Raw genomic sequence first — 13,071 nt, forward strand, 5'->3', positions numbered from 1 at the left:
GCAGTGCAATTATTTGAAAGATAAAGACATTAATTTAATTCACCTTTTCAGTTACAATCCTCTAAAGTCTTCTAAAAGGCATTTTCCAGCAGATTACGAACGTCGTCCTTTCTGAGTATTGTGTCATCGCCGCTCCCTTCCCGTTCACTGCAGAGCCTCTCCTTATCTCCCTAGTGCTCCCTCTTCCATCTAATCCATCTGGCCACTACTGCCAGAGAAATTTTGCATCATGGATCTCCCACGTCCGTAAGTCAATGGTTTCCAGGGCCCACTACAATTAAATGACATTTTTCTTGTTTGTTTATCCTCTTTATTCAGTCTTCTTTTCACTTGTACCCAACCTGCACCCTCTAGGTGGTCTGTGCACACTGCGTCCATTTTCACTGCTGTCTTTGTTCATGGTGTTTGCCCAACCCTTACTTGGAAAGTTCTTTTCCACTAGTACCCAGCTCAAATCCCACCGCCTTTGTGACACTCGTTTATTCGATATATACTAACGTTTCCCTTTTCAAAGTATTCTATTTAGAGTTGGAAAAAACAGCATAGTATTTAAGTACTGTATTTTTCACTTCTCATCTAAGAGACCCACCAATGACCTATTAGTGTTTTATTTTTTGGTGTAGGTAACTATGTTGGTAGGAATATTTCAGTAACAAATATATACAAGGTAACTCACTGCGTTCAGATTTGTGCTTCCCTCCCTTCGACCAAAACCTGAGGACCTATTCTGTGCTAGGGCCTGAAAATACAGAAATAAAGGAACTACAGCCTTGATGCCAAGGCTCTCGTAAGCAGATTATAATATGATCTGCAGTGACAAATATTTGTGTCACCGATGAAAACATGAGCGGGAACCTCACCCAACACCATGTGACAAATACCCGAAATGGACTTCCTATTTCAACTACTTTAGAGAAACATGGTGCCCTCAGGATCACTAGGTTACTCTGGAACACTCAGCAGAAGCCAGTCATCTGTCTCTAATACTGTTAGAAATGGTCCCGAGCCCAGAATAACATGAATTGCCCCCACCCTCACTTATCCACGCAGTCCCTCGCCAGTGGCTAATGCACCACGTTTACAGACCACGTCCCCAAGCGCCAGCGCGGACGGCGGTGCGGACAGGGAGCTGTATTGACCTGCGTTCTGCGTTTCAGAGCCCGGACCGCCCTGGGACCCCTGTGGCCCTCAAGTTCCCAAGTGACCTCGTCCGGGGAGGGGACGTCTCGCTCTGACCCCGCCCTGGACGCACCCACCCACGACGCCCCCGCCCACTTCCGGCGCGCCCCCTCTTCGCCCCGCCCACTCCCCCGGCTCCGCCTAGTGACGTCTTTGCCCCGCGCCGCGCCGTCCCACCCATCTCCCTGGCCTCCGGTCCCAACTTCGCTTCTCTGCTGACCCTCTCTCGTCGCCGCTGCCGCCGCCGCAGCTGCCAAAATGTGAGTGACGCTACGCGACGCGGGCGGCTTCGGGCCCCGCAGGCGGCAGCTCGCGCTGGGACCGCCATACTGCCCAGTTGCCGCCGGCCGCCACTCGGACGCAGGCCGGGGCTGCGCGGGGATCCCGAGGCCTGGGGGTGGGCGGTGGCCCTTGGGTCGCGGGCTGCAGACGGGCCGGGCGGGTCCCGCGGCCATCGGGCGGACGCGGAAGGGGCAAGGGCGGGGCGGCGAGACGCTTCCCGGAGGAAGTGAGCTGCCCGCCCGCAGCCCGCTCCTCGCCCCTTCCCTTTCTAGTCCCCGACGTCCCTGAGAGGAATGGGGACGACAGCCCTGGTTCGGGAGCGCCCGCTCTCGGCCCGGTGCTGCGCTGGGCCCCAGAAGTTGCGAAAGAAAGGACCTCGGCCCTGTCCTGAGCCCCTGTGGGCCGAAGAGCTCCTTGCCTAGCTAGGGGCATCTGCACTGGAAAGATCACTTAACCGTGGGCCTTCGCTCTCTTAAGCGAAAGCACGTTGCAAACCCCTGCTTCCAGTGGTAAGACTCAGAGAATGCTAATGGTTAAGAATCACAAGGACTCCCTCTTCCACCTCCATTCTGCTCATTGCTCACCGTCGGAGGAAGCCCCGGGTTTCTTCCAGGAGCTGGGGACCCCCCTCGAATGTTCCTGCTGAGGCTGCTGTGCCAATAGATCACAGTGGTTAAGATCTAGAGCCAAGGTACACAGGACCTGATCTAAAAACAAGCTGTCCTGCAGCCAGCTGTGTTGACTCTCTAAACCTCACTTTACTCATTTGTAAAATAGGAGTAATATTCCCCTCAGAGAGTTATGAGGGTTAAAGGAGGAAAAGCATGGAAAGAGTCTAGCGCCACGGCATGGTCCTTACTTATCTACCAGATACTAAACTCCGTGAGGACGGTGATGAGATCTGTTGTAGCCCTGGTCATTGACACATGACAGATGTAAAGTGACTGTTCAAACAGCCCATCAGACTGTTGTATACCAAGGCACATGCTAGGTGCTATCTAGGATACAGAGAAGAGAGTAAGAAGACCCAGGAACCTGTGATCTATTCGAGGAGGCGGGACTTTATACCTGAAAAACCAAAGTGATACTTTCCAAGTAATGGAGCCAATAATGACTTCAGAGTCAGAGTGGTTAAGAAAGATCTGCATGGGGAGAAATAAAGCCTTTGATGAAGATTTTAAAAGATGAGTACCTTCCTGGGCCGGGCGCGGTGGCTCATGCCTGTAATCCCAGCACTTTGGGAGGCCGAGGTGGACGGATCACTTGAGGTCAGGAGTTCGAGACCAGCTTGACCAACATGGTGAAACCCCGTCTCTACTAAAAAATACAAAATTAGCCGGGCGTGGTGGCACATGCCTGTAATCCCAGCTGCTTGGGAGACTGAGGCAAGAGAATTGCTTGGACCCAGGAAGCGGAGGTTACAGTGAGCCGAGATCGCGCCATTGCACTCCAGCCCGGGCAACAGGAGCGAAACTCCGTCTCTCAAAAGAGGGGGAAAAAGAAAGAGTACCTTCCTAAAAGAGGAGGCATTTCTTCAACACACCTTTCCACTCACACCACCCACTCCCTGCATCCCAGTGTTCCTGACTCTGTTTCTGTAAATTAATCTATTTTTCCATATTGGAAAAAGGGCATTCTGTAACTGTTTGTAACTATGAAAACAGTTCCTTCCACAATGAAAAGATCAGGAAAGTACTGAGTACATTCAAGCAGATGTGTGCCTTAGAACAAGTTTCAAAAAAGGACAGTAGAGCTTACCTATCGTGGGATCAGATACTTCAGGGATACAAAGTAGGTCCTATTAAAGCTTAACATTTGTCCCTTTAGTAGGTGGGACAGTCTTGGAAATTATAGAGAAATTAGAAGAAATGCAATTAAAACTTTCGTTCATTGCTTCAGGAAGAATTTCTTTTTCTGTTTTAGTTCTAATGTAAGAGATTGTTAACAGTGAGAGTCCCGGAGTAACATCTTTATACTTAAGAAAATGTATTTGGAATCGTAATGTACTCATGCTCATGCCTTTACATGTTCCAGGTCTACAGGTCCAACTGCTGCCACTGGCAGTAATCGAAGACTTCAGCAGACACAAAATCAAGTAGATGAGGTATTGCTCTGAAATGTTGGAAATATGAATTTTAAACAAATATGAGTACTCTGGAAATCTGTTTAGAAAAAGTATCATCAAAGTGTGAATGTAAAGCAAATTCTGACTGTATCATAATTGTAACGAAACTTTGCTCCCTGCTGTGCTGGAAGATCTAATCTAAGCAAAAGTCAGACTTTCTAGGTTTCACGCTTGTTTTCCTGTGATAGAAACCTGCTCATAACATTTAGCTCAGGAGAAATAAAAAATCATATGCCTAAAACATGAACATCACTCCCTGAGTGCATTCCCCAAGAAGCACTTTATAAAATCGGATAATACAATGTTAAGGATTAGGTCTTTAGATTGCTCAAGCCAAGACCAGTTCTTCTGATCAGATTTTTTTATCAAAATGCTTTGTCTTCTTACTAATTGTCCAGCCTGAGCAAGCCTCTCTGTAGAATTCATCTCTAATGGTTGTCCATTGACACACACAAAGTAGATACTGTCAAACTCCATTAGCTCAGCAAATCTCTGTTTGTAGAATTCTTGAGCTAGAGGACCTCCATCTTTTGTTCTGCGCCGTATGTGGAGAACCACAGCAGAAGATTGAGAAATTCAGACTAGTGTTTCCACATTCCTAAAAGCCGTCACTGTCCGACAAATATATTTCGGTCTTTCTGCATTTAGCTGCCCTGAAAAAACAGTTAAAGTTATGTCAGATACTGTTGTTAAATAATATAGTAATGTTTTGATCTGATGGTTTTGTTCATGAACTTATACAATTTTAGATTTTCACAGTAAGAAACCCATTGTAATTCTGTCCTGCCTGGAAATTCTGTTTACTTACAAAATCAAATTGGATTTTTTTTTTTAGCCAAAGGAATTTTAAGGAGAGTTGTTTTTTTATTGAGGCAAAATTACCATAACATACAACTAAACATTTTAAACTGTATATAATTGAGTGTTATTTAGTATATTGATAATATTTTGCAACCATTACCTCTTTCCATTTTCAGAACTTTTTCATCACCCCAGAACACCTCATGCCCATTTAGTAATCATTCACTATTTCCCCTTCCTCCCATTCTCTGGTTACCTCTAATCAGCTCTCTCTTTCTGTGGATTTGCCTGTTCTGGGTATGTCATATAAAAGGAATCATACAATGTGTGGCCTTTTGCATCTGCCTTCTTTCACTTAGCACAAAGTTTTTTGCATTCATTCAAGTTGTAACGTGTTGTACCGTGTTCCTTTTTACGGTTGAGTAATATTCCATTGTATGTGTATACACAATTTGTTGAGCCATCCATTTGTTAATGAGTCTTCGAGTTGTTTCCACCTTTCAGCAATTATGAATAATGCTGTTATAAATATTCACAGGAAAGATTTTGTTTAGACATAGGCTTTCATTTCTCTTGAATGTATACCTAGGAGTAGCATTGCTAGGTCATAGTAGCTGTATGTTTAATTTTACGAGGAACTGCCAAATTGTTTTCCACAATAGCTGCACCATTTTATTTTCCCACCAGCAATGTCCAAGAGTTCCTGTTTCTCCACATCCTTGCCAACACTTGTTTTCCATTTTGATTATAACCATCCTACTGAGCTCTTTGGGTTTTCATTTGCGTTTCTCTAATGATTAGTGATGTTAAGCATCTTTTCATGTGCTTATTGGCCATTTGTATGTCTTTGAAGAAATGTCTGTTCAGGCTTTGCCCATTTTTTAATTGGGTTGTTTGAGTTGTGAGAGTTTTTTATGTATTCTGGATATTAAATCTTTCTTTATCAGACATGTGATTTGCAAATACTTTCTCCCATTCTGTGGCTTGTCTTTTACATTTTTTTTATTTTTTTTATTTTTATTTATTTTTTTTGAGACGGAGTTTTGCTCTGTTGCCGAGGCTGGAGTGCAGTGGTGCAATCTCAGCTCACTGCAGCCTCCAAGCCCCAGGTTCAAGTGATTCTCCTGCCTCAGCCCCCAGAGTAGCTGGGATTACAGGCGCCCGCCACCTTGCCCGGCTAATTTTTTGTATTTTTAGTAGAGACAGTGGTTCACCATTTTGGTCAGGCTGGTCTCAAACTCCTGATCTCAGGTGATCCACCTGCCTGGGCCTCCCAAAGTGCTGGGAATATAGGCATGAGCCACCGCACCTGGCCTGATAATGTTCTTTGATGCACAAAAGTTTTTAATTTTTATGAAGTCCAATGTATCTGTTTTTCCTTTTGTTGTTCTTGATTTTGGTATATAAGAATCCACAGTCAAATCCAAAGTAATGAAGATTTACCCTTATGTTTTCTTCTAAGAGTTTTATGGCTTTAGCTCTTACACTTAGATTATTGATCCATTTTGAGTTACTTTTTGTATATAGGGTGAGGTGGGGATTCAACTTCATTCTTTTGCATGTTGGCTCTTCAATTGGCCCAGCACTGTTTATTGAAAAGACTGTTGGATGGCCTTCGCACTCTTGTCAAAAATCAATTGGCCATAGATGCTTAGGTTGACTTCTAGACTCTCAGTTCTATTCCATCAGTCTATATGTTTGTCCTTATGCCAGTATCACACTGTTTTGATTACTGTAGCTTTGTAGTAAGTTTTGAAATTGGGAAGTGACTTTGGGGAGTACTGCCCTCTTAGCAATATTAAGTCTTCCAGTGTGTGAACATAGGATGTTTTCCCATTTAATGATGTCTCTTAACAATTTCTCTTAGCAATGTTTTCTAGTTTCATTGTCCAAGTCGTTCACCTTTTGGTTAAATTTATTCCTAGGTATTTTATTCTGTTAGATGCTATTGTAAACACAATTGTTTCCTTAATTTCCTTTTCAGATTATTTGTTGCTGGTGTATAGAAACACAACTGATTTCTATGTGTTGTTGTTGTACCCTGCAACTTTGCTGAATTTGTTAGCTCTAGCAGTTTGTTGTGGATTCTTTGGTATTTTTTATATAGAGAGAATCATCTGCAAATACAGATAGGTTTATTCTTCTTTTCCAATTTGGATGCCTTTTCTTTCTCTTGACTAATTGCTCTGTTCAGAACTTCCAGTACAGTATTGAGTGGCAGTGTGAAAGTGAGCATCCTTGCCTCGTTCCTGATCTTAGGGGGGAAGTCTTTCACCATGGAGCATGATATTAGTTGTGGATTTTCCCATAAATGCCCTTTATCATATTAAGGAAATTCCCTTCTATCCTTAATATGCTGATTGTTTTGATCATGAAAGAGTGAGCCCATTTTTTCTAAAGTGAAAGTTTGGCTCAAAGTAATAAAGTGCTGACCTGAAAGAACAATGTGCCTGTAGATTGTCTTTGAAGTCTCTGTGCCTCCATTTTTTTTGAGACGGAGTCTCACTCTGTCACCCAGGTTGAAGTGCAATGACGCAGTCTCACCTCATTGCAACCTCCTCCTCCTGGGTTCAAGCGAGTCTCCTGCCTCAGCCTCCTGAGTAGTTGGGATTACAAGCGCCCAGCACCCCTCCCGGCTGATTTTCTTATGTTTTTAGTACTGAGACAGGGTTTCCCCATGTTGGCCAGGTTGGTCTCGAACTCCTGACCACAGGTGATCCACCCACCTCGGCCTCCCAAAGTGCTAGGATTACAGGCGTGAGCCACCGCACCTGGCCCTGTTCCTCCATTCTTTGTGCATTACTTGCTGTGATCACACTCATCTAGGTGGTGGACATAATGCGAGTTAACGTGGACAAGGTTCTGGAAAGAGACCAGAAGCTCTCTGAGTTAGACGACCGTGCAGACGCACTGCAGGCAGGCGCTTCTCAATTTGAAACGAGCGCAGCCAAGTTGAAGAGGAAATATTGGTGGAAGAATTGCAAGGTAATTATCTTTTAACTGACCTTTACATTTAACCCCCCTTCTCCATTCTCAGAGAATTAACAGGCTACAGATAATGGACTTTCACGACTCTGGGAGGTGGGTTTGACTTCCTCCACATGGAAATGTGGGTCCACTGTGAATCCGAAACACTGACTGCATACCCTTTCCTAGCCCCACACTAGGAATCCTCTATGTGCTGTGGCTGATCTTCAGAAGATGCAGGTAGAACAGGAATATCCAAAATCACTCACAGTCATCAGCCCCTCCCAACCCTCTACCCCAGCAGGGCCCCAAACAGATAGGAGAGGGCTGGAATTGGTCAGTTTTCTCGTAGTTCTGTGAATGGTTCCAAGGTCAAGGGAAAGAAATGCTAGAAAGCCACAGTGTGCCCAACAGAAGAGTAGAAAGCAGCTCTCCCAGGAGCACGAGCCAAAGCAGATTTTATACAGTTAGCGTGCTGCAATCAGATCCAGATGTATCCTGTCCTCTGCCTTGTTTACAAGTGACACTTTGAGACACAGGGCAAGCTGAGCAGCCTTTCCATATGTGGAAAACTTGTATACACAAACAAATGCCTAGCTAGAGGCCACACATCATTTGAACATCTTTTAAAAGCAGATAAGTTACCTTCAGGCCCTAATTGAGAACATTTAATTTAGGCTTTAGAAATTATTAATTACTCCAGACTGTATGCACCTGAATTTCCCTTTCAGTGACTAGATGAATATTATATAATACTCTTCAACAAGCACATTATGTCTGCATTTGAAATGTGATATGGACATATGTTTTGTTACAGATGTGGGCAATCGGGATTACTGTTCTGGTTATCTTCATCATCATCATCATCGGTGAGTTACCCTTTTCTAAACTGATTGGAAAAGTCTTCTCCATGTGTTCACAGACCATTGATTTTGTGTACAAGAACTCAGATTAAAATTTCCCTCCGAAATGTTAGTTTTGGCTAGGTGCGGTGACTCATGCCTGTAATCCCAAAGCTTTGGGAGGCCAGGAGTTTGAGACCAGCCTGGGCAACATAGCGTCTCTACAAACAATTGTTAATAATTAACCAGGCATGGTAGTGCACACCTGTAAGTCCCAGCTACTCAGGAGGCTGAGACAGGAGGATTGCTTGAGCCCAGGAATTCAAGGCTGCAGTGAGCCATGATCATGCCACTGCCCTCTAGTCTGGGTGACAGAGTGAGACCTTTTCTCAAAAAAAAAAAAGAAAGGTTCATTTATTCCAAGGTTTTCAGTTTTCTTTAATAAATGTTTTAAGTACTTGAGTTTTGTATAAGTCTGAGATTTGATACAAACATTAATCCTTTGAAGTTAGAGAAAATCTATTCATTTCCACTTCTTTTCTCTGAATATATTTTTTTCACATATTTCCTTTTATGTAATGTAGTGGTTAAAAGCATGGAGTGCCTGTGATCCATCCTGGCTCCACCACCATCCAGCTGTATGGCCGTGGACAAGCAATTTAATATCTCTGGGTTTCTGTTTCCTCATTTGTAAAATGGGGATAATAATAGTCCCTGTCTTGTTTGTTTGTTTGTTTGTTAAAGGACAGATCTGGTAAATATATAAAAATTGGCCGGGCTTGGTGGCGCACGCCTGTAATCCCAGCACTTTGGGAGGCTGAGGCGGGCAGATCACGAGGTCAGGAGATCAAGACCATCCTGGCTAACACGGTGAAACCCCGTCTCTACTAAAAATACAAAAAATTAGCCGGGTGTGGTCGCGGGCGCCTGTAGTCCCAGCTACTGGGGAGGCTGAGGCAGGAGAATGGCATGAACCCGGGAGGCGGAGCTTGCAGTGAGCCAAGATCATGCCACTGCACTCCAGCCTAGGTGACAGAGCAAGTCTCCGTCTCAAAAAAATAAATAAATAAAATAAATAAAAATTGCTTAGGTTGGTGCCTGGCATATAATAATAAAAATAATAGCTATATAAATAATATATATGTATACACAAACACACACACAACTATTATTATATAATATTCAAACAACTCACTGCCATCGGTAGCCCAGTATATGAGAACCGAAACATGACTTCTTTCATTGATAGATGGATGTTAGTGGATGTTTCCTTTTAGCAGGAAGGTACAGTTACTTGGATCCTTTTGACTCTAGTCTCCTTCCTCTAGCCCTCTATAGAATGGAGAGAAGCCAGTAGTAGGAAATCAGCCCAGTCTAATTTCTGATCACATTTAGACTGCAGCATTGGATGTTGGCTTGGGATTCACACTGAGAGACTAACCTGCTGTTTCCCCTGCCTTTTTGCATCTCTCCTCCTTCTTAGTGTGGGTTGTCTCTTCATGAAGAACCAGCGGAACTCAAAACTGCTGTTCAAGAAACCTCTTCAAGACTTTTGACTTAGAACCTGCTATATTATCAAGCTTACCTACTGTTATCTCTAAAATTTTTTTTGTGTTAATGTAAAGTTGAATTTCTAGGAAACGTGCCTTTGTTTTTTAATATGCACTCCAAATTAGAAGGCCGGCCCCGTCCACATTTTGCACAGTGCCTTTACAGATTTACGTATGGGCTGATGAAGAGGCCTTCTTAAGTTCCAGAGTGCTATAATCTAGATGTAATGTTGTCACTAATTAATTGCCATTACTCCCAGTTAGTTACCCTTGTCATTTGGCATTATTTTCAGAACCACATTTTAAACCTTTGGGTAATCAGATTTCCAACTTATGCCTTCCAGAAAAAAACACTACTGCCTAACACAAATCTGTGATAACAACAGGCTGTGCCTTATTTTGATAATTTTCTGATTCCCTAGAAGAGAACCCTCTACTTTTTGTAAGCACTACTGACTCTCGCTGTATTTAAGATGCTGGTGAAGAGCTTTTGCTCTTGCATTAGATTTGAAGATGTTTACATTGTTGTTATTGTTATGTATCACTTGCTAAAAATATTGTTTTAATCAGAGATAACCTCTTTAAAAAAATTTTTAAAGAACTATGGCTATGACCAAAGCTTCTATTTTGCCAAAAAGTTAAATACCGATAAAATGGCCTTAAGTGTATTCCTGACAGTTAAATTCAGAAACGTGCCAAATGGAACTCAAGGTGCCCCTTCAGAATTAAAATCATTACCTTGTGTGTGAACCTTCTACATCTTCATAGGCCTTTCTTCCTTTTGAAAGGCTGTAGACAGTGTGGCTCCCCTTCTGATTCAGTATTTTGCATGGGGGTTAGAGAAGGTTTGAGGTAGACTCTGACCGTCTCATAAAAGAGTTCTACCCAGCAGTTGGCAGATTATCAGCTGTGGACTCCAGCATGTTTCTGATAATTATGCAAGCAACAATTCTGTAGCCTCAAGTAAGACCACCTGTGAACTTGATCATTATCTGGCCCAAATATGAAGATAAACTATAACTTTGGAGTTTGTTTCCTATTTGTATTCACATTCTGCTTCCTAAATCAGTTTTCTAAATTATGCCTGCAATTAGGCATTGGTCAGGGGTGAATGGCTCTTTTCACAGAGAGTAGCCAACCAGAGACCTTTGCTTTGATATCATCAACTGCAGAGAATGCTGTTGATGGGAATGCTGGAAGCAGAAACTTTGTCATCGGAAAAACTTTTCTTGTATGCATGAGACTCAACATCAGGATCCACAGCTTAAAGATGGGAATTCAGGTATGAAAGAAAACAGGCAAGGAGGCACTGAGGGAGAAAGACACAGACTTTATCGCTCTGTGGCTCATTGTTACTGGAATATTCTAAAACTCTTGTTCACATGCTATTATGACTTATAAAGCAGCAACAGCTGAGGCGCACCAGGACACAGCTTCCATTTCTTTAACGTCTGTTCCCTTAACATCGCTGAAATGATTTACTGTTGAAGAGATGCCTTGCGGTGTGGCCAGCTGTGAGGAGAAAGCAGCTGGCAGTGTTAGGACATTAGTCCACCTTCAGCGCAGGGTCTCTGGCCGGGTCTGACTCAGAAACCTTGGTACTCGCCCCTTGGCCACAGTGCCCAGACCCATGTAACCCACTGGCTCCTGCATTAACCCAGAAATACCTCGCTTCTATCTGTGCACTTAGCTGGGAACTTACCCACTGTAATCACCTAAATAAAGTGTTTATAAACATGATTGTGGCACCTGTGCTCCTTGTAGAGGAATAGCTGCACCTGGTCCGAGTCCTAAAAATGCCATTCCTTGCTGCTCCCCATACCTGTCCCTTAGAAGCCCCGAAACTGTCTCCCCCTTTTCTCACCAGCCCCTCTCTAGGTACTCTACCCTTTTGGTACCCAGCATTTCCGCATACCCCAGTGAACAGAAGAAAACCGCTCCCCTTGTGAAAAGTGCTTTTTAGTATAGGCGATGAGGAGGAAACTGGCTTTTACACAATTACCAAAATTCAGGATGTGGCTTTGGAGTTCCCTAAATAGATGGTCTTTCTAAAGTGATGTGCAGAGCCGACCCCGTCTGTGGTAGACTAGATGGCTGCTGGCATGGACCCTGGGATAGATGAGTGGATAGGTGAGGGACATCCCCAGACACATGGCTCTGTTCCTGTAGATCCTTTTTTCCTCATGAATGTATTTCCATTCTTATCGTAGAACCCCTAGGAAACAATATAATACGGGTGGAAGAGGACTTTTGCTTATGTTTACAATAGGAAAATCCAAGTCCCTTTCCCGAATTACAGGTCCCACGATGATCTGGTCCTTTCTAGTTTTCTGACTTCATGTCACACGACTCTCCAGCTCTCTCTTCTCCAAGCAAGGTACTCCACCAAAGTATAGCTGTTGACATCGGAGAGACTTGTGCCCATGAGACTTTCAACATCAGGGTGTGGCTTGAAGGCCAGAGTTAGCTATGAATGAAAACAGGCAAGGAAGCCCTGAGGGAGAAATGGACCTGATAAAGTTTGTTTCGGTTTCTCATCAGCAAACTGACTTCTTTCCAAAGGTCTTCTGCAGGTACTTTCAGCTCTGCCGGGTCTACTTCCTCACCCGCGGCAGGCGCCTCTCATCTCAGGTTGAAATCCGCCTTCCCCACTCGCGGCAGGCGCCTCTCATCTCAGGTTGAAATCCGCCTTCCCAGAGGCCTGCCCTGCTGATCTGACTAAGCAGGCTCTGGCCTCCCCACTCCACCTTTCTCCCAGTTACTCTTCCTTCCAGTAGTTTGTTTTCTACACATCGCTTTAGGCTTTATGAACTTGTTTATGGGGTTGTTTGTATGGCTTTCTCAATAAAACGTCAACTCCCTGGGTGGCAGGGACTTTGGGCCACTGTTCTATCCGCTGGGATTCCAAGCGTCCCTACCCAGATCTGCACGCAATAAATGCTTGCTGAACGAATGCAGTTTGACAAAACCCAGCTTCGGAGGAGAGCAAGCCAACCTAGAGTATCGCTTGGAAGATATAAGGTGGTTTATTCAATACCTAACATGAACACTCACCTCACTTTTCCCCTCTTCCTTTACATACAATTTCATCCATCCAACAAATACTGAATATTTTTTCTGTACCAGGCAGCGAAGAGGGGCGGCACTCTGCACTGTACCTTTCATTTCTAACATGTTGAGATACTAAACTGAGCTTTCAGACATTTTTTTTAAAGGGCTCTACAACTTCTTTTCTGAAACAGAGTGTCTTTTACGTTTGTCTTCCTCCAGTTGCCAAATGAATCTAATTTTAGGAAGTGCAGGGAAGTGTTTTAAGTTCCACCGT

General features: G+C 43.8%; 1 protein-coding gene across 1 annotated transcript, besides 4 other annotated features; it reads left to right on the forward strand.

The window, feature by feature from the left end:
- Positions 554–1,250: an enhancer, noted in NCBI's record as "H3K27ac hESC enhancer chr1:7830560-7831256 (GRCh37/hg19 assembly coordinates)". NCBI's record gives its function as "activates a minimal SCP1, AML or CMV promoter by ChIP-STARR-seq in naive H9 embryonic stem cells {active_cell/tissue: H9 hESC(naive)}" and the evidence as "EXISTENCE:reporter gene assay evidence [ECO:0000049][PMID:30033119]".
- Positions 994–1,043: an enhancer, noted in NCBI's record as "active region_91". NCBI's record gives its function as "activates an Ori minimal core promoter by ATAC-STARR-seq in GM12878 lymphoblastoid cells {active_cell/tissue: GM12878}" and the evidence as "EXISTENCE:reporter gene assay evidence [ECO:0000049][PMID:35858748]".
- Positions 1,277–1,519: a silencer, noted in NCBI's record as "fragment chr1:7831283-7831525 (GRCh37/hg19 assembly coordinates)". NCBI's record gives its function as "represses an EF-1alpha promoter that drives an FKBP-Casp9 reporter gene in an ReSE screen in HepG2 liver carcinoma cells {active_cell/tissue: HepG2}" and the evidence as "EXISTENCE:reporter gene assay evidence [ECO:0000049][PMID:32094911]".
- On the forward strand, positions 1,350–11,486 carry VAMP3 (vesicle associated membrane protein 3). Its single transcript, NM_004781.4, has 5 exons — positions 1,350–1,439; positions 3,496–3,565; positions 7,214–7,372; positions 8,172–8,223; positions 9,680–11,486. Coding segments are annotated over exons 1-5 (303 nt in total). The 5' UTR covers positions 1,350–1,437; the 3' UTR covers positions 9,700–11,486.
- Positions 1,484–1,713: a silencer, noted in NCBI's record as "silent region_186". NCBI's record gives its function as "represses an Ori minimal core promoter by ATAC-STARR-seq in GM12878 lymphoblastoid cells {active_cell/tissue: GM12878}" and the evidence as "EXISTENCE:reporter gene assay evidence [ECO:0000049][PMID:35858748]".

The sequence above is a fragment of the Homo sapiens genome, chromosome 1 (assembly GCF_000001405.40).
Source record: "Homo sapiens chromosome 1, GRCh38.p14 Primary Assembly".
NCBI lineage: Eukaryota > Metazoa > Chordata > Mammalia > Primates > Hominidae > Homo > Homo sapiens.